The 22,098-nt window shown below is 41.0% G+C and overlaps 1 protein-coding gene and 1 pseudogene across 30 annotated transcripts in view; both read right to left on the bottom strand.

The window, feature by feature from the left end:
* The window catches only part of DIP2A (disco interacting protein 2 homolog A), a 124,981-nt gene that overhangs the window by 49,511 nt on the left and 53,372 nt on the right, over positions 1–22,098 (bottom strand). For all 30 annotated transcript variants that reach the window (XR_007067786.1, XR_007067785.1, XR_007067784.1 and 27 more), the window contains 4 exons: positions 5,178–5,269; positions 2,124–2,234; positions 714–837; positions 248–357 (listed from right to left, as the gene is read on the bottom strand). Coding sequence is in view for 27 of the 30 variants with exons in the window: in NM_001353943.2 (NP_001340872.1) it covers positions 248–357; positions 714–837; positions 2,124–2,234; positions 5,178–5,269 (437 nt within the window). In the remaining 3 variants the exon portion in view is untranslated. The remainder of the gene's footprint in view (positions 1–247; positions 358–713; positions 838–2,123; positions 2,235–5,177; positions 5,270–22,098) is intronic.
* RNU6-396P (RNA, U6 small nuclear 396, pseudogene) lies at positions 8,639–8,743 on the bottom strand (annotated as a pseudogene).

Below are 22,098 nucleotides of genomic sequence, written 5' to 3'. Positions count from 1 at the left end.
CCATGGGCTCCCTCATAACTGTCTGCATCCCCAGGGAGCCAGTTAGGAGAGAATTAGATGAGAGAGAAACCTGGAAGGATCTGAGCAAGGATTTATATGACACTCTGTATTTCCAGGGCAGAGATAAAACAAGAACTCTTAGGCCGAAACTTAACAAAAAAGAATAGCAACTTACATTCTTATGAAAAGCAAGACTTAAGCCTGTGGGACATGTTTTTACATTCTCTAAGTTAGGAACAGTCATTACCTCAATGTAGGCAGTCCCAGTCCCTGTGTCCTGGGCCAGAGGGTGCCAGTCCTTTGGGGGCTTGGCTAGATGCTTCCCATCAATCACTAGCCAGGAGAGCGGGGGCCAACCTGTGACACACAGACAGGACACAGAACAGCAAGCAGTCAGAGGCATCTGCTCCCCACACTCGAAGCCTGCGCCTCCAACATGCAGCACTAGCTACTGAGCGAATAAGGAGTGCAAGTTTTAGTCTCATTTCATTTTATATAATTTAAAAAGGTACATCCGGCCAGTGGCTACCACATTAGACAGTACAGGTCGAGACATGAAGCCAGATGAAAACCGAGATTCACCAAGGACTCGAACAAGGGATCACTTTTGCTGAAGACCCAGACACCTCTGTCATGTTTAATTTCTGGAACACCATGCATTTAACACAGACCACAGTCAGAACACTGACTCCCCTTCCCTTGGGAGGCCTCACCTTTGAAAGCTGCCACCTCTCCTGTCTGTGCCTTGGGGAGGCCTTTCTGACAAGCGTCTGTGGTCAGGGCCAAGAAGACTCCACAGCTGCCCAGCAGAAACCCAACCTGCTGGCTGCCTGCATCCTGCAGAAAGCAGAGTGACCGTGTGGGGTGGGGTGCTCACAGCAGCCACAGCCCCAGACCCTTGGTGCTCCAGGCCATGCACAGAGAACAGATCTTTTTTTCATCCCTCATAAAACTTCCAGAATAATTCAGTCCCATTATTGATATATATGATCTTTTCACGGAAATAGTTCATGAAAATGTGACAACTATGTTTAAATTTAAAAGATAATTTTGGTTTGTATTTGTGTTGAAATATAAAGTTTAATGGGCTAATTTCTCAAAGTTTATTCTTACAAATGACATTTAGAAGCATTTTTAATAAACTCCAAAGTTAATGGCATTGAAATTTCTATTGAATCATGTTTGAAATTTACAAATTAATCTAGAGAGGCCTGGTCACCAACGATATTAAATTATTTCCACACAGAAACACATTTCCTTGTAGCCAAGTCTTCTGTGTCCCTCAGCAGTATTCTGTCATTTTCTTCATATAAATTTGACAAATCTCTAGTTTTACTCCTAAGAACCACTGCATTCAAATACCTGCCCATCACATATTATGCTTTGAGATACACTAGTTTGATTTGCAAATTTTACTTTTGGGATTCTTGAATATTTCTGGATAATGCTCCTGTTAACAACTGCCTGAATTCTGGGACAGGATGACAGAAAACTGATTTTCTCAAATTCATGCCTTGTCTATTTTTTTTCAGTAATCATATTATTGATAGTTATATCAAAAATGTTACAGATACCTAGATCAGCAAGACCCCACATTAATAATTTATCAGCAACAGAAACTGCCTACGGTCATATAAGTGAACAGAAATGCAAGATAATTTCCATCTCGTTTATTCAAAACTGCCACTGAGAAGTGAGCTATATCACTGTAATGATATATTTATCCCTAAGAAATAATAATTATTTTCTATAAACATATGGTTTTGAGGAAAAGTTGAACAAAATCTTATTGAATCATAATTCTATTCATTAGAGGAAAAAATGGCTATCATTTCTGTTGGGAAATTCATGTAGATGATAGAACAGCTCCACCTAATAAGAGTGTGGTGTGGGAGCATCACCAGCAAAACGGTTCTCAGTGCCCCTCTCATTAACAAGAAGAGAGGCAGGCAAAACGGCATCTGATTTCTCTTGAGTCCTGGCCAGCCTGTTGACTACTAGCTTTCTCTCCTCTGTCAAAACAGCTGCTTGCTGCCTGCCCACATGAGTGAAAAGGAAGTAAGATACTGCTGGTATCAAGTTCAGAAGCGAACCACACGGGACCTGAGCCATGGGTTTGCTACCTTTCTTGTTAATGGCACTTCTATGGGGACAGGAACCAGCTCTGCCAGGAGACACCCATAAAATGCAACCATGAACATCACAGGGTCACTATTCGGAAACACGAGCGCCACCTACAACAGGACAAAGAAATGAATATTCCAAATTTCCAATTTTTACAATATCTAGTTAAATTAAAAGCTAGTTATAAATAAAATTTTTGTAAGCCCCAAATATTGTAATAATTGTGCTTGAAACCATAAGGGACAAGTCCAAATAGTATTTAACTGAGTAGAGACAGTTGACTCAGGGCCTTTGAGAACACGCAACAATGAATAACCAATAAGTGCTGACTTTGTAAGACAAAATTTAAGCTGTATCTATATTCTGTACTTGAGGTCTGGAAATTTAGTTTCTAACAAGTTTGTTTGTTGAAAAGGGCAAGGTTCTCCTTCAAAATTTGGTTTTAACAGTGGTTGCCCAGAATGTAACCTATAACCTTCAGACTAGATGTTTGGTATGGAAAGTATATTTTTACAGAATTTGTTAGGAAGAGCTGTGCTCACTTTTATAAAGTGTAATATTATAGGAGGCAGAATTTGCCACCAATTTCTTCAACTCAATCACTGTGACCTTGTCCATTTTATTATGATTCACCTAACCAAAGAGATTCTCTTGCAAGTCAAGAATCTGAAAGTCTTTATCCTTGTAAGAATGTTTTTCAAGAAAATTAGTGATTCTTGAATTCATTCTAAAGCGTTGCATAAAATCTCATCTATGAGCACAACATATCATAAAGTATTATTCTTAAACTGTTTACATTTTTATAGCCAAGTACACATTTCCTTTCTTTTCTGATAACAGCTACCTCCATTTCTACTTGCGTTGCTTTCTGTGTATTCTCTAGCTAATTTGTTTTAAAATACTCCCTCAGCTGGGTCAAATACCCACCTACTGGTGGGTCATTTTCCAAATAACCACCCACTCAGGAGAGCCGTGAGTGTCCCCTGCTGCTGAGGACTCCACTGCTGAGGGTCTCGGTTCTCCTGATGGTGGGTGCTGAGGATTCCACCCCACCCTGGAGTCTTGGTTCTCCTGATGGTGGCTCTGCTGCCCCCCCTGGACTGCTGCCAGTGATCGTCCTGGGGCCTCCACTGTGGTCCTCCTGCTTGCACCCTACTCACTCACTCACTCATGTGGCTGAGGGACATCTTCTAAGAACTTGACAAGAAAGTGCTTGCGAGCCAAACGTTTCTGAGTCCTGCATGTCTGAAAATGGCTATACTATTCTCAAATCTGTTGAATCTCTGGGAACAGAATTTTAAGTTAAAATTATATTCCCTCTGAATGTCTGAAGCATCATTCCACTCTCTTTCAGTTTTACCAATGAGAAATCCCAAAAGCCACTGTCATTGCCAATCCTTTGTGTACATCCTACTTTTCCCCTGAAAGCTCTGGGATTCTTTTCTGTACCCCTCGTATTATGCAATATTATGGGCATGCGTTTTGGTGTGCATCCTTGAATGTTTACACTCTCCAGGTCCGGGATATTGTCCTGAATTACTATTTTCATTTAAAATGTTCTACTTTCTGTTCTCCTTTCTCTTTCTCGACTCCAGTTATCAGTCAGGTGTTGTGTCTTCTTGATCGAGTCTTTTTGTCCTATTTTACTCCGCTCTCCATCTCTTAGTCTTTCCTACCGGCATCCTTTTCTTGACTTATGAAACATCTTCATCTCTGATTTCCAAGAATATTAATACTCACTTTTTAGAAACATTGTTTTCTGTATCTAGCTTTCCTTGTTGTTTCCTCTTTCCTCCCTTCCTTACTTTTCTTGTCTCTTTCTCACTCCCTCTCTTCCCTTCCCTTTTCTTTGTCTTTTGGTATTTTCTCTCATATTGACATTTCCTTCTTAAAAGTCCTTGGCTAATAGTTCATATTAAAGACTTAGGCACTGAAAGAGCTACTTGGAACTGTCTGCCAGCTTGTTAACCTGCAGTTTCCTTGTTGGGTGATCTGACACAGGTGACCTTCTCACTAGGGGATTTCACTGGTATGTTGATTTTCACCATGTTCTCCTATTTTCCACCCTGGACTTTCTAGTATACCAGGGTCCTCCGGTCTGGTCCAGCTTGCCTACAGTAGTACTGTCCAACAGAAGTTTCTATGATGACAGAAATGTTCTACCTCTGATCTATAAATACAGTAGCTACTAGCCACACTCCTACTGAGCCCTTGAAATGTGGCTTGTGCAACCAAGAAACTAAATTTTTTATTTTATTTAATTTTGGTTAATTTAAATAGCCCCAAATGGCTACTGCCAACCATATAGGGCAGTGTAGCACAAGAGAATAAGTCTCCAGCATCCTATTTTGGCAGATAGGTACAAGGAGGTTACCTGGACACATAGAATAGGGAAGGAGATAAAAATACAGAATTTCACAGCAGGGTTTCAGACCTTCAGATTTTAATTCATAAAATCTAAGCTCTGGAATCTAACATTTTTAATATCAACATATATGAAGTCAAACAGAAAAGAAGATGAAGAAACAGTGGACAAACAATGAAACAACGAGTGCAGAAAAAGAATGCTGCTTTACTCTACATCACAAACTTTGCCATATTTAATATTTTTCACTGCTTTTTTTTTTTTTTCTCTTTGAGACGGAGTCTCACTCTGTCGCCAGGCTGGAGTGCAGTGGCGAGATCTTGGCTCACTACAACCTCCACCTCCTGGGTTCAAGAGATTCTCATGCCTCAGCCTCCCGGGTAGCTGGCATTACAGGCACGCACCACCACGCCCAGCTAATTTTTTGTATTTTTAGTAGAGACAGGGTTTTGCCATGTTGCCCAGGCTGGTCTCAAACTCCTGAGCTCAGGCAATCCGCTCACCACAGCCTCCCAAAGTGCTAGGATTACAGGCATGAGCCACCGCACCCAGTCCTCACTGCTGATTTTAAATCCCTTGTATTAATGCTGTAATTCTAACTAAATGATAGAACACTAATTTCAATGAAACAGATTATTTAAGTCCCTGCTTTTGCTCCTTCCAACAAAGTGACATTCTAGTTACTTACTCTGTCTCCAGGTTTAAGTAGAGGTTCATTCTTACTTGTCAGTTTATTAAGTAGAGTATAAGCTAGTTTTAAACTCCGACTCCAAAGTTTACCTAAAACAAAATAAAAATACTAAGCAATGTAAAATTTAAGAAACAAGTAATTAACATTTTAATGTAGAAACCAAAATACCCCGAAATATACCATTACCCCATTAGTGGAAATTTAGGTAGTTTCCAACTAATAACTATTCTGCACAATGTTGTAATGAACATCATTGTTTTCTCTTAAAAATAGCTTACAGATTTATTTTTCTTAATACAAAAATAAAATAGGATTTTATTACAGAAAATCTGGACTACAGAAGAGCCAGCAGAGGCAGGTTGCAGTGACTCACACCTGTAATCCCTGTACTTTGGAAGGACGAGGCAGGCAGATCACTTGAGGCCAGGAGTTTGAGACCAGCCTGGCCAACATGGCAAAACCCCATCTCTGCTAAAAATACAAAAAATTAGCTCAGTGTGGTGGTGTGTGCCTGTAATCCCAGCTGCTCGGGAGGCTGAAGCATGAGAATTGCTTGAACCTGGAAGGTGGAGGTTGCAGTGAGAGCCAGCCTGGGCAATAAAGACATTATCTAAAAAAAAAAAAAAAAAAAAAAAAAAAAAAAAAAAAAAAAAGCAAGCAGAAAAAGTCAGTATTTGGTATACATATGTATATGTACATATGTGTGCATATATATACAGCTATACACATATAAACACGTATACATGCCTGTAAAATTTTCAAGAAATGAGATACTTCACCCTACTTTTTAAATTAATATTGCATTGTAAATGGATTTTCATTACGTTAAATATCCCTCAATTACATCATTTGTAAGAGTAGCACATAATTTCTTTAATCTTTACAACAATTCATGAAATGGGTCATATCTTTGTTTTAACATGTTAAATTCCTAATTTAATATGTTAAATTTAAGATGTTAAAATACCAGCCATCCCCAAAGAGAAGTTCCCCTGACCAAAAATCAAGAGACAATATAAACCAAAGCAACAGATCCAAAGGTGATCCGGGTATCAATGCCATCCATTCTTTACTTGGAAAGCCATCAGGACCTCACGCCAGGCACAGGGCCCAGGAACCAGCTCTTATCCCCTGAGGTCCTTCCCACCACACACCCCTCCTGGCGCAGCTGCTATGCTCATAAGCACTCAATAGGGGAGAGCTTCACTGAGGAAGACAGGACAATAGAGAAAGGAAAAGCCTAGAGGACTGGGGGTGTCTAGAGAGGACGACAGAGGCAGGGGTGACCATGGGACAGGAAGACTGAGAAATCTGAGTCTAACCCCCCACACTTGAAGGAGCCTTAACACCCCCTCACCAAGCAGCCTATCAAAGAAGCAACACAAAGTCATCACTGAGCCCTTTAAGTCCCTGTGGCACAACGCAAGCAGGTTGAGTAGCCATGCCCTGCAAATGAGCGCTCAATTTCCCGTGTAATAATATGAAGCTCAGGTGCAACACTATGAAATAAGTGAACTGTGGGACCTGAGAAATGAATGAGAAAAAAAAAATACTAGACTGGGCACGGTGACTCATGCCTGTAATTCCAGCACTTTGGGAGGCCAAGATGGGTGGATCATCTGAGGTCAGGAGTTCGAGACCAGACTGGTCAACACGGTGAAACCCTGTCTCTACTAAAAATACAAAAAATTATCTGGGAGTGGTGGCACACACTGTAATCCCAACTACTCAGGAGGCCGAGGCAGGAGAACTGCTTGAACCCAGGAGGCAGAGGTTGCAGTGAGACGAGACTGTGCCACTGTCCTCTAGCCTGGGCGAGAGTGAGACTCCCTCTCAAAAAAAAAAAAAAAAAAAACCTCAACTCAAACCACTGTTTTAGCCTATTTTAAAAGGTCAGTTTAAGGTGTTAATAATTGTAATGCATAAAGAATTTCAAACTGAATCCAGCTACATAAAAAGAATAATGCATCATGACCAAGTCAGTTTTATCTCAGGAATGCAAAGAGGTTCAACAGAAAACCCACATAATTTGCCACATTAACAAAATAAAGGTGAAAAATAAAACAATCATATCAATAGATGGAAGAAAAGAAAAACAGTTTAAATCATTCATGATTTTAAAATGATTTTAAATGATTTTTGAAATTCTTCTTAAACTCAGAATAAAAGGAAACATACTTCCTTAATGTGATAAGGGGCATCTTTAGAAACCCAACAGGAAATATCATAATTAATGGTTGGATATTGAAAGCTTCCCCTCTGAGAGAAGTAAGTAAAGGATGTCTGTTTTCAGCATTTTACTGAAAGGCTTAGCCAGTGCAAAAAGGGAGAAAAAGCTGAACAACTGGAAATATAACTACCATTATTTGCAGATGACACGATGGTGTAGCTTATGAATCTTTTGTAACTGAATTTAGCAAGGCTGCTAAATATATCAACATACAAACACCATTTGATTTCTACATACTAGCAATACAGAGTAAACAGGCCTGGCGCAGTGGCTCACACCTGTAATCCTGGCACTTTGGGAGGCTGAGACGGGCAGATTGCCTGAGCTGAGGCGTTCAAGACCAGCCTGGGTGAGATGGTAAAACCCTGTCTCTACTAAAATACAAAAAATCAGGCGGACATGGAGGCAGGCACTTGTAATCCCAGCTACTCAGGAGGCTGAGGCATGAGAATTGCTTGAATCCAGGAGGCGGAGGTTGCAGTGAGCCAAGATCGTGCCACTGCACTCCAGCCTGGACAACAAAGCGAAACTCTGTCTCAAAAAAAAAAAAAAAGGAATGAACGTTTTTGATGAAAGTATCCACCACAAGCTTAAAACACACACACACTAAGTACTTGAGACTGTCACAAGAAATATGCAAAATCTCCCCACAGAAAACCATACATTACTGAGATAAAGTAAAAAATATTTGAATGGAGGGACAGATGTCCAAGGGCTGGAAGACTCAATAATGCAAAGGTGGCCAGGTGCGGGTGGCTCACGCTTGTAATCCTAGCACTTTGGGAGGCCAAGGCAGGTGGATCACCTGAGGTCTGGAGTTCGAGACCAGCCTGGCCAACATGGTGAAACCCCATCTCTACTAAAAATAAAAAAAATTAGCCGGGTGTGGTGGCAGGCGCCTGTAATCCCAGCTACTCAGGAGACTGAGGCAGAAGAATCACTTGAACCCGGGAGGCAGAGGTTGCAGTGAGCTGAGATTGTGCCATTGCACTCCAGCCCGGGCAACAAGAGCGAAACTCCATCTCAAAATAATAATAATAATAATAATAATAATAATAATAATAATAATAATAATAATAATAATAATGCAAAGGTGTTAATTCTCTTAAGACTCAAAGTAATGCTAATAATCTCAGTAGGTATACTGTGACACCTGATAAGCTCATTCTAAAGTGGATCCAGAAATGCACAGGGTAAGAATTGCTAAGACACTCTTTTTTTCAGTTTTTTAAATATGGAACATTTCACAAAAGTGTGTCATCCTTGCACAGGTACCATGCTCATCTTCTCTACATCATTCCAGTTTTAGTGTATGTGCTGCCAAAGTGAGCATGTAAGATACTTTTGAAGAAGAAAACAAGATGGCAGGCTTTCTCTACAGATGTCAAGACTTATTATAAAACTATGGCAATTAAGACAGTGTGGTATAGGCACAAAGATAGAAAATAAATCAGTGAAATAAAACAGAGAACAGCAAAACAGATCCACCCATGTGTGGACAACTCAACTGATGACCCACGTGCCACCACAGAAGAGTGGGGCAAGGGCTGTCTCCTCCTTAGACAAGAACGGGACAGTAGGTTATCTTTCTTTAGAAACGAACCCGGGAACCCAGTCCCACACCATTCACAAAAACACATTCCAGGTGAATGGCAGACCTAAATGTGAACAGTAAAACAACAGCATTTTCCCAAATTAATGGAATAATGTTTTGATCTCAGCCAAGGGAAACAGTACTTAAAGAGAACATAAAAGCAAAAATCGGGCCAGGCATGGTGGCTCACAACTGTAATCCCAGCACTCTGGGAGGCCAAGGCAGGTGGATCACCTGAGGTCAGGAGTTCGAGACCAGCCTGGTCAACACAGTGAAACCCTGACTCTACTAAAAATACAAAAAATTAGCCAGGCCTGGTGGTGCACACCTGTACTCCCAGCTACTTGGGAGGCTGATGCGTAATAATTGTTTGATCCGGAAGGCAGAGGCTGCAGTGAGCCAAGATCACGCCACAGCACTCCAGCCTGTGCAAAAGAGTAAGACTCTGTCTCAAAAAAAAAAAAAAAAAAAAAAAAAAAAAAAAGCAAAAAGCAAAAATCATAAAAGAAAAGAAGGTGATTGATAGAACTTCTGTTCACTAAGCTACCATTAGTGGAAAGCCAGCCACAAAGAGGGAGAGAACTCTCGCAAGGTATTACTGACACAGGGCTGGGATCCAGAATATAATATAAAAAATTCCTATAAATGATCCTGTATTAGAAAAGGTGCAGCTGCTCTGCCTAGGGAGTAGCCATTCTTTTACTCCTTTGCTTTCTTAATAAACTTGCTTTCACTTTACTACACTGACTTGCCCTGAATTCTTTCTTGCACAAGGTCCAAGGAGCCTCTCTTGGGGTCTGGAATAGGATCCCTTTCTGGGAACATCTTCCCGGTGAATTCCAAAGGGACAATACTGAGGAGACCCCCGACCCAAAGGAGATAAGACCACAGCACCAATTGGCCGACTTTGGGTAAGTGGGGTGCATTTACCAGGGTAAAGGATGGAACTGGGTTAGAGTCCCAACTTAGGGGAGTCAGAGTTTCTCCTAAGACAGAGTGGGTTAAAGGCCCCTCTTAATAAAAGGCAAGGGCACTTGAACAAACCTGGGTTCGAGGCCCAACTTGGGAAGGTTAGAGACCTTCCTAAGATATAAGGGGTTAGAGGGTCCCCCTTCAGTAAAGTCCCTCGTGGCCAAGAATGGATCTGGCACTACAGAATGTTAACCACTATTCTCTCTGGATTCATCTGCCTTGCACTCTTTGCTGACGGCTTTGGGTGACAAGGTTAGGCATGTACAGGATCATGGAACATGGGAGCATTTTTTCTCCCCAAAAGGGGAAACTCCAGAGCTGACGGGACAGCTGGAAAAGATCCCTTCATTACTGACAAGCGGCTGCCTGAACTTTTGATTCAGCGTCGCCGCAATGGCTGGGTCTTTCTCCGGCCTCCCTGAGCTCCTCACCTTCCCCATACTGCCATAGGCAATGCTTTTCTCCCTTTCTCTTTTCCATCTTTTCTGTTACTCAGGGCAACTGCTCCTTCATCTTGCCCAGAGACCACATGTTGAAAAATGTCCTTGGGAGTTGACTTGTAACCACGCGGAGGTACTTTCTCTTGGTTTCCACCGAGTGAACAGGAATTTGAGGGTTCATATCATAGTTAGCTCTAAAGGTTATCTCGAGCAGTTAAAAGCCTTTGCAAGCTCAGAATTGGATGCTCTAGACTTCTTCTGGGAATAGTCCAAGTGCCCAATACTGTAGCTTATTGGCTAAAGTTTATTGTTTTCACCTGGGAGGTTACCTTTGGCCGTAAGGCCTGGCTGAAGTTGGGTAATAAGAGATTTAAAAGGAATTTTAAAAAAAAGCACTATGGGCCAGGTGCAGTGGCTCATACCTGTAATCCCAGCACTTTGGGTGGCTGAGGCGGGTGGATCACAAGATCAGGGGTTCAAGACCAGCCTGGCCAACATGGTGAAACCCCGTCTCTACTAAAAATACAAAAAAAAAAAAAAAAAAAAAAAAATTAGCCAGGCGCACGCCTGTAATCCTAGCTACTCAGGAGGTTGAGGCAGGAGAACTGCTTGAACCTGGGAGGCGGAGGTTGCAGTGAGCCAAGATCACGCCACTGCACTCCAGCCTGGGCGACAGAGCCAGACTCCATCTCAAAAAATAAATAAATAAATAAATAAGAAGCTAGGCATTGGTGGCTCACATCTATAATCCCAGCACTTTGGAAGGCCAAGGCGGGTGGATCACCTGAGGTCAGGAGTTTGAGACCAGCCTGATCAACATGGAGAAACCCCATCTCTACTAAAAATACAAAATTAGCTGGGCATGGTGGCACATGCCTGTAATCCCAGCTACTCGGGAGGCTGAGGCAGGAGAATCGCTTGAACCTGGGAGACAGAGGTTGCGGTGACCTGAGATCGCGCCATTACACTCCAGCCTGGGCAACAAGAGCAAGACTCCATCTCAAAAAAAAAATTTTTTTAAATTAATTAAAAAAATAAAAGAGCACTATGGTTAAAAGTCACCTTAAAAGCAGATATTCAAGGTCTAACAGCCTGGGACTCTTTGGGGGAAACAGAGGAGGAGCCACAGACCCCATTTTGGGAAGAACCTCTGTTTTCCTCATGAAACCCCAGGAATTTAAAATTTAAAATCTCAAAATCTAAGGCTCTGCTCTGTTTTGCAGCACTGTGTTATCTGACGGTTTTGATTTCACATGACGAGAGAGCTCTGGTGTAATAACTAGGGAGGAAATATACTTTGGGGGTAGCTAATGGCAGTTGTAGGGGAATACACACCTCTCTGCATGTTTGGATCAGAGAAGCATGCTCTTGGCCACCTAGAAGGTATGGAAATGTCCCCCAAGCCCCACTGAGAGATAACACTCCCATGGGGGATGGGCTGATTCCCTTTTTGAGGATCCAGTATCTGGTATAGAAATGAGAACTTTGATTTTTGGAATCTGCTTTGCCTTCCAGCTGCTTATTAGGCTCCAGAAACTGCATGTTTCCCTAGCCCTGTTTAGCAAAGAGCTCCACCCTGAAGCCAGTAATCCAGTTAAGAAACTTAGAAACTGGAAAATGGAAAATCTTACGTCTCCTGGATCTTCTGTCTATTTACATGTTATGTGTGTGATGTTTATATATGAAAGAGCTTTGATTAACTGGTTTAAAAATACTAAGACCTTAAACCAAATATCTTGTCAGAAAAATTAAAACTGTAATGCCTTTTAGTTCATGTGACTTAAGTAACCTTTGGGAAATAAAGACAGTTTTAAAGACTATTGGTAAAATAAAAATATCTTCAAAAATTTAGGCATTTGGTCTAAATTAGACAGGTCAGATATTAGGTTTGCTAAATGCTTTACGGTCATAAACTGCTTCTTCGGTTAACAATGTAACATGCACTTGAGACTATGGGACTATGGGAAAAGCAGTTCTACCTGCAAGTGTGAAATGTGCACGGAAAGTGAAATGTGTTTTTGGTAAAAAGATTGTAAGAAGTCATGGGAATGTGGATTTTTTTTTGCCTAGATTAAAGGGTTAAAGGATTATTTTCAGTTGGATAGAATAATGCTGAAGGTTTGAGCAAGTTGTGGAAGGTTTGTGAAAAATTAATCTTGTAAAAGAAATTGTGTGTGAACACACTGGCCTAAAGTTAAAGGGGTATTATTCAGTTTTTCCATAAATTGAATACTGGAATAAAAGCACAACAGTTTTCTTGGAGCATGAATCTGCTCTTTAACAAAAAGTGTAAAGGGTTATAAAAGGTTTATGAGAATCTTACCTTATGGTTGAATAGATTTGTCTACAAGGTTTTATTAAGAATTGGGTTTGACATCAATAATGCGCTAATGCAATGGTGAAATTTTGCTTTCTCCCTTGAGCAGGATTTTTATATTAAAAAAATAATGAAAGATGGCTGGGTGTAATGGCTCATGCCTGTAATCCCAGCAATTTGGGAGGCCAGGGCAGGCAGATCACTTGAGGTCAGGAGTTTGAGATAAGCCTGGCCAACATGGTGAAAACCGGTCTCTACTAAAAATACAAAAATTAGCCAGGCATGGTGGTGCACACCTGTAGTCCCAGCTACTCAGGAGGCTGGGGCAGAAGAATTGCTTGAACCCAGGAGGCGGAGGTTGCAGTGAGCCGAGATCACGCCACTGCACTTCAACCTGGGTGACAGAGTGAGACTCCGTCTCAGGAAAAAAAAAGAAAAGAAAACAAAGATTTTTGTTTGCCTTTTGAATAAACTATAGGAAAAAGAAGGGAAAGAAAGGAGACAGATTATTTGGAAAGCTAAGTCTTCCTTCTATTAATGAGTAAAGGATTTTGCCTTTTAAAAATTTTTGAGTTATCATTTTGGGTAAATGAATGACTTATGGTGACCTGGGATTCTATTTTGTAATATCAAGCGTTTAAACCTTTAATATTTGACAAACTTTCCAACATCATACTCTAAATTCTGCCTTTTCCTGACCTAATTAATCTTTTAGATATTAGGTCCTCTCAAGTCCAAAAAATGACATATTCAGCTTATTTGGTATAAAAATCACACAGCAAGCACTGTCAGATATGAAATGATGCGTGGCTTTCTTTGGGCTATATTTGTATAAATATGTTATTGGTTTGTGTTCCAAAATCGTGTGAAACTTCTATAACTCTGATATGACAGTACATGTTATTAATATAATTGGTATGTTAAATTGTTCCATGTCACAGAAGTAATCAAAATTCCTAGTCAATTGTGGCTTTTGTAGAGGCTGCCCTAAGGCATTCTGTCATCCATACAAAATTGTTGTCTTGTTTGGGTCCTCTTTAGAAGGTGGTTTTATAATCAACTAGAGAACTCTAACAGGTGTTTTTGAATGCAGGTTTCTGATAACTTTGGAGGTTGCGACATTAGAATAGAGGAAAAACTTTCAGGACTCTCATGGAGAGCCAAAATGTTCATGAATATCGAACAGGAGTTAACTGCATGAGCTGAACTAATAGGACTAACAGAACTAATAGAAGACAGAAGTAACTTGTTTTGACATGAGCTGAACTAATAGGACTAATAGAACCAGTAGAAAACAGAAGTAACTTGTTTTGACTTTTTGCTTAAATTGTTGCTGATTCTTTGTTTTGTTTTTCAGAGCCAAGAAAACTTCTCTTTTGAGCTATTTACAGCTTTTAACAATTGAGTAAAGTAGAGAGAAACAAGAGAGATGGGTAATGTAAAAATCTGGATCAGGCTGGGTGCGGTGGCTCATGCCTGTAATCCCAGCACTTGAGGAGGCCGAGATGGGTGTATCACAAGGTCAGGAGATCGAGACCGTCCTGGCTAACATGGTGAAACCCCGTCTCTACTAAAAATACAAAACATTAGCCGGGCGTGGTGGCGGGTGCCTGTAGTCCCAGCTACTTGGGAGGCTGAGGCAGGAGAATGGCGTGAACCCTGGAGGCGGAGCTTGCAGTGAGCCGAGATCGCACCACTGCACTCCAGCCTGAGCAGCAGAGCAAGACTCCATCTCAAAAAAAAAAAAAAAAAAAAAAAAAAAAAAAAAAAAATCTAGATCAATATTCTAATTCTGGGCACACTGGAATCAGCTAGCAATCCCATATCATCTTAGTTCCAACAGTTACCCAGTTCATGAAAATCCCTATTTAATTTACTTGGGATAATTTTACTTATTTTGTTTTACTGTTGTGGAATATATTGCTGTTGTACTCTGTGTAGGAATGCAGGATAAGCTTACTCAATGTTTTCTTAAACTGAACACTTATTAATCTTCCAGATACCAAATTTTCTTGGCGTTATGAATGGCCCTCACCATACTGATGCTTTCTGACTTAGCTCCTTTCTTTCTCAAATATAAAAGACCCTAATAGTTAGGCAGGAATGTCATCACTCCTGTTCAGCCTGAAGAAGTTATAGAAGATGAATCTTTGTCCCTCTACAACCTTTAGAATTAAGGCTTCTCTCATAAAACAGAGAGGGGAAATATGTCAGAGGCGTTTAAACCAGAGCAACTCCATCTTGAATAGGGGCTAGGTAAAATAAGGCTGAGATCTGCTGGGCTGCACCCCCAGAAGTTAGGCATTCTAAGTCACAGGATGAGATAGGAGGTCGGCACAAGATACAGGTCATAAAGACCTTACTGATAAAACAGCATGTGTGGTGAAGAAGCTGGCCAAGTCCCCGCAAATGAAGATGGCAATGTAAGTGACCTCTGGTTGAACTCACTGCTCATTATATACTACTTACAATGATTGGCATGCTAAAAGACACTCCCACCAGTGCCATGACAGTTTACAGCAGCCATGGCAACGTCAGGAAGTTATCCTAGATGGTCTAAAATGGGAGGAACCCTCAGTTCCAGAAACTGCCCACCCCTTTCCCAGAAAATTTATGAATAATCCACCCCTTGTTTAGCATATAGTCAAGAAATAACTCTAAGTATTCTTAGTCCAGCAGCCCAAGCTGCTGGTCTGCCTATGGAGTAGCCATTCTTTTATTCCTTTGCTTTCTTAATAAACTTGTTTTCATTTTATTTACATATACTTCTTGAGACAGGGTCTCGCTCTGTCACTTAGGCTGCAGTGCAGCGGTGCAATCTTGGCTCACTGTAACCTCCACCTCCTGGGTTCAAGCAATTCTCATGCCTCAGCCTCCCGAGTAGCTGGGACTATAGGCGCATGCCACCACACCCGGCTGATTTTTGTATTTTTAGTAGAGACAGGCTTTTGCCATGTTGGCCAGGCTGGTCTCAAACTCCTAGCCTCAAGTGATTCACCCATCTCAGCCTCCCAAAGTGCTGGGAGTATAGATGTAAGCCACCGTGCCCAGCCGTTCACTACAGAAAAAATGTGTAAAAGATTCAAGGGGTACTTAACAAAAGAGCAAGTTAAAATGACAGGAAAGATCTCAATCTATTTAGTTATCAGTAAAATGCACATTAAAACCACAATGAAATACCACCATATTCTCACGAGAGTAGCTAAAATTCATAAGCCTGACAATACCAAGTGCTGATAATGATGGGGAGCAGGTAGGGCCCACCCACACTGATGGGCCAAGGGTGAACTGGAGAACGGTGATGCCATCTCAGCAATGTGAAGGTGCCCATAACCCTAGACCTAGTACTTCCACTCCTAAGTACTCAACCTTCAGAAACATATGCTTAGCTACCACGTGGCACACACCAGAATCTTCCTGGGAGCACTGTTTCTAGTAGCTAAAACTGGATACAGCCCATGTATTCCAGCAACAGCATAATGCTTAAGTAAATTCTGATATATTCATTCCTCAACAGAAATAAATGAATTACAACTACCCGCAATAACATGGATGAATTTTAAAAGCACAATGGTGGAAGACTCTGCTTCCGAGTAGGAGAGGGTACTGGTGGCAGACCAGCACTCCTGCCTAAGATGAGTTTAAAAACTGAATAAAATGCAGAAATGATCTTTTGGAGGCAGCAAGTTGCTGCTCAGCAAAGACAACTAGAGGAGTTAAGATTCCAGAGAGGGAAAACCCTCCGGAAAGTGAGCTGAGCTGCAGCTGTCTTTACGCTGTCCATGTTCAGGGATTCCAGCCCCCACGGGGGGCTGAGTATCCACCTGGAGCAGTCCCACCAGGACATGAAGAAACCTGCAGAGCTTTTGGTAGAGGCTAGGAGTCTCGAGAGCACAGCCACCTCCTGCAGGACATGTGCTGAATCCTCTGGCTGTGTGCAGCAGGAGACCAAGAGCCCATGTGGAAAACCTCTGAAAAGCAGAATGGGGTTGTTAAGAAGCCACGAGGAGACCAACGCCACGGCTGGGAAGCCATCAGAGGAAAGAGACACATGGACACACCAGGCACTGGCAGAAAGCCCAGGAGAGCCAGAGGAGAGCAAAGGCCGGCTGGGCCAGGCATGACTGGACTGCAGCGACCAGCCAGCCACTACTCTACTTGGAGGGGAAAGAGGTTTCTCTTAAGGAAGATGGCATTGTCTGGACCTGCCATAATGTTTTTATACACAACATACAATATTCAATCAAAAAGGCCAGGCATGGTGGCTCACGCCTGTAATCCAGCACTTTGGGAGGCTGAGGCAGGCAGGTCACTTGAGCCCAGGAGTTCAAGACCAGCCTGGACAACACAGTGAAACCCCATCTCTATAAAAAAAAGAAAATAAGAAAGAAAGAAAAAATTAGCTGGGCGTAGTGCTGTGCACCTGTAGTCCCAGCTACTCAGGAGGCTGTGGTGGGAGGACCTCTTGAGCCCAAGAAGTCAAGGCTGCAGTGAGTTGTGATCACCACTGCACTCCAGTGTGGGCAACAGAGCAAGACTCTGTCTCAAAAAAAAAAAAAAAAAAAAAAAAAAAGAGAGAGAAAACACAGACAAGAGCAACAGACCCAAAGGTGATACAGATATTGGTGTTAGCTAACAAAGACTTTCATTTACAATAATTAATGTGTGTATTCAAGGCAGCAGAAGCAAAGATTAGGAAAGTGTATGGAATAATGAGAAATTTTTCCAGAGTATTAGAATAGTAACTATAATAAAGAAATGAAAATTCTAAACTGAAAAGGCAATATCTAAAATAAGGAACTCATCAGGATTTCACAGCAGATTAGAAATTTCAGGGCCAAGAGCGGTGGCTCATGGCTGTAATCCCAGCACTTTGGGAGGCCGAGGCAGGTGGATCATGACGTCAGGAGATCGAGACCATCCTGGCTAACACAGTGAAACCCTGTCTCTACTAAAAACACAAAAAAATTAGCTGGGTGCGGTGGCAGGCGCCTATAGTCCCAGCTATTCAGGAGGCTGAGGCAGGAAAATGGCGTGAACCCAGGAGGCGGAGCTTGCAGTGAGCTGACATCGCACCACTTGCACTCCAGCCTGGGCGACAGAGCCAGACTCCATCTCAAAAAAAAAAAAAAAAAAAAAGAAATTTCAGAAGACAAGATTAAAGAATTTGAATAAAGGAAAATAGAAAATATACAAATTGAAGTATATATAAGAAAGAATGCAAAATATAAAAAAGAACATTAAAAATGTAGGACTCAGGGAAAAAGTATAAGTGTAACTGGAGTCCCAGAAGGAGAGAAGAAAAAAAGTGAGGAAGAAGCAATATAGTAAGAGAAGATGGCTGTAATTTTTCTCAAACAGATGAAAGACACCATTCTACAGATTCAAGAAGCCCTGTGGACATCTTGAAAATTTCAAAGAACATCACAGGAAATTTTCAAAGAACATCACCTCTAAATGTCATAGTAAGACGGCTGCAATTCAAATAAAAAGAACACTTTTTAAGCGGCCATACACATTACTGTCAATAGAGCAACAATGGTCTGGCATCTTCTCAAAAGCCTATAAACAATATCTTTGCATTGCTGAAAGAAGATAAACCACCACGAAATATAACCTTCAAAAATGAAGTTGCCAGCAAAGCTACAGTATAACGAACATACAGGAAGTTCTACAGGCCAGAAGGAAATGATTACCCAGGAAAATACAGAATCTCAGGAAGGAATGTATATAGTAAAAGAAAGAATAAAAATGTATGGTTGATTAAAACAACAAACAAACAAAAAACAATGGGCCGGGCATGGGAGCTCACGCCTGTAATCCCAGCACTTTGGGAGGGAGGCCGGCAGACTGCTTGAGCTCAGGAGTTTGAGACCAGCCCAGGCCACATGGCGAGACCTCGACTACACTAAAAATACAAAAAAGTAGCCAAGCATGATGGTGTGTGCCTGTGGTCCCAGGTAAAAGGGAGGCTGAGGTGGGAGGATCACCTGAGCCTGGGGGGTGGAGCTTGCAGTGAGCCGAGATCACGCCCTTGCACTCCAGCCTGGGTGACCGAACACAACCTTGTCTCAAAAAAATAAATAAATACACACAATGGTAGTAATATCTTACACTTTGTAAATAAATGCAGACTTAAACTGCAAGCCAAGGAGAATATATAAAAAAAAAAAAAGAGGAAGTGTGTCACAGGCTGGGTTCTTCACAAAGCAGACGCTGAGAAAGGCTCAGGCATGCAAAAGGATTACTAAAGAATAAAAATCTGTGATAGGAAAAGACAGGTAGCAAGATTGGGCAGGAGGAGCTGTCAAGCCACAATGTAGAACTGACAGTCTCCACAAGCCCAATGCTGTTTTTAAGGAAAGTCCATGCTAACAGAAAATAGGCCCTTGTCCCACTGCCTTACTTGGCCATTGGCCAGGGACTGCTCTGCCAATAGCATGACCTAGATTTGAACGCTGGTTTAACAGTTGAGGCTGTGAGCTAGGCATACTCATCAAAGGCTGGCAATGGGCTCCTTTCTTAAAGAATTACAGATCAATTTTTCTAATGAAAACAGACGTAAAAATCCTAAACAACTTATTGGCAAATTAAATCTGGGTGTATATTTAAAAGGGTAAGATATTATGGCCAAGTGGGATTTATTCTACAAATGAACGGCTGCTTTACATTAGAAAATTAATCAAAATAATTCACCAAATTAATGAAGGAGGAAAATCATATGATCTTCTTTCTAGCAGCAGAAAAAGCATTTGACAAAATTCAATCCCAACTCATGATAACAACTTTTAACAAACAAGGAGAAGGGAACGTTCTTAATCTGACAGTTTCTACCAACAAACAAGCAAACAAAACTACAGAACACATCATACTTAATTACCACAGGCTTTTCCTCAGATGGAAAAACAGGCAAGAATGCCCACTCTTCAACATTGTTCTATTTCACACTGTACTGGAGGTTCTAGCTTGTGCAAAAAAAAAAAAACCAAAAAAAAAAAAAAAAAAAAAAAGAATAAAAGTTTAAGTATTGGAAAGGACAAAATAACACTATCATTATTCACCAATAATGTGATTTTTGTAGACAGGTAATACAAAAGATATATAGACAAACTTCTAATTATGAGTAAACAAAGAACTAATAAGTTAACTTAGTGAGATAACTGGATACAAAGTCATCATTTTTTTTTTTTTTGAGATGGAGTCTTGCTCTGTCGCCCAGGCTGGAGTGCAGTGGTGCGATCTCAGCTCACTGCAAGCTCCGCCTCCTGGGTTCATGCCGTTCTCCTGCCTCAGCCTGCCAAGTAGCTGGGACTACAGGCGCCCACCACCACGCCCGGCTAATTTTTGTATTTTTTTTAGTAGAGACGGGGTTTCACCGCGTTAGCCAGGAAAGTCTTGATCTCCTGACCTCATGATCCGCCTGCCTCGGCCTCCCAAAGTGCTGGGATTACAGGTGTGAGCCACCGCGCCCAGCACAAAGTCATCATTTTAAAATAATAATAATATAGATTGCAATTCTATATATAAGCAACAAATCAGTAGAGAAAATTACAAATTACAGCACTTGTAACAGGAATAAATCTAATAAAAGGTGCTCAAGACTTCTGTATTCCAAAGTATAAAAACATTACTGACAGAAATTGAAGCAGGCCTTTAAAAAGGGGAAAATATTCCACAATCATAAACTGGAAGATTCCATAATTGTAATACAGGTTGAGTATCCCTTATCCGAAATGCTTGAGATTAGAAGTGTTTGGGATTTCAATTTTTTTTTAGATTTTGGAATATTTGCATTATATTTATTTCCCAGTTGAGCATCGCATCACAAGTCCAAAAATCAGAAATCCAAAATGCTCCAATGAGCATTTTCTTTGAGCATCATGTCAGCTTCAAGCAGTTTCAGATTTTAGAGCATTTTGGATTTTGGATTTTCATATTTGGGATGCTCTCAACCTATAAAACATTAATTCTACTCAAATTGAACTAGAGATTCAATGCAATGCCAATCAATATCCCAGTAGTAATTTTTATGGAAATTGACAAGTTAATTCTAAAGTTTACTTGGAAATACAAAGAGCCAAGAAGAGTCAAGGCAATCTTGAGGAACCATCACAGAGCAAGAGGACTCCTAATGCTACAGTGATTCAGAGCATGGAGAGACAACAGACTGACAACACCCCCCGCCAACAGGAGCCCAGAAACAGACCCGCAAGTACATTTTTCACCCACTATATAACAAAGTAACACTGCAGTACTTTGGGGAAAGGATTGCCTTTTCAATAAATGATACTGAGTCAGTTAGATACTCATAAGAAAATGACTCCAACTTTATACCAACAATATACAACTTTACTCCAACAATATACAAAATTAAATTCTAAATGGATCATCACACCTAAATGTGAAAAGTAAAACAATAAAGGTTTTAGAAGAGCATGCAGGAAAATATCTTTGTGACCTTAAGTTTGGTAAAAAATTTCTAAATTAGACAAAAACTTAGCTACAATACAGGAAAAAAAAACAACATGTAAGTTAGATTACATTAAGACTTTTCATTCATTAAAAGCCATAATTAAAAGTGTTAAAAGGCAATCCAAATAGTGAGGAGACATTTGCAAAACATGCATCTCAGGAAAGATGCCTATCTGAAACATACAAAGAAATAAGAGGCCAGGTGCAGTGGCTCACACTTGTAATCCCAGCACTTTGAGAGGCTAAGATGGGAGGACTGCCTTAGCCAGGAGTTCGATATCAGCCTGGGCAACATAGGGAGACCCCCCATTTCTACAAAAAAAAAGTTTTTTTTGTTTTGTTTGTTTTTTTTTTTAAATTAGCTGGGTGTGGTGATGTGAGCCTATGGTCCCAGCTACTCAGGAGGCTGAGGCAGGAGCATCTCGAGCCCAGGAGGTCAAGGCAGCAGTGAGCTATGATTGCACCACTGCACTCTAGCCTGAGTGACAGAGTGAAACCTTTTCTCAGAAAAAAAATAAAAAAGAAAGATGAAAGCATTAGCAAACAGAGAAATGAGCCAAATATTTGAATAGTACATAAATGTGGATATTCAAACAACCAATAAGCATATGAAAAGCATAATTTGTCACCAGGCAAATGCAAATTAGCCTGTGCTACAACACACCTACAACAAAGACTATAATGAAATAAACAATATCAAAAGCTGGTGAGAAAAGAGATAACTGGAACCCCTCACATACTCACTGCCTGTGGGAGTGAAAACTGCTGCACTGCCTTTGGAAAACTGTTTGGCAGTATGTCCTAATGCTGAACAATTCTGCTTCTGCATTTATACCTAGCACAAATGCCTACATATTCTCACCAAGAAACTCACATAAGCATGTCCCTAACAG

This window comes from Homo sapiens, chromosome 21 (assembly GCF_000001405.40).
Source record: "Homo sapiens chromosome 21, GRCh38.p14 Primary Assembly".
NCBI lineage: Eukaryota > Metazoa > Chordata > Mammalia > Primates > Hominidae > Homo > Homo sapiens.
Note: the sequence above shows the minus strand (reverse complement) of the source record. Positions and strands in the feature narration are given on the sequence as shown.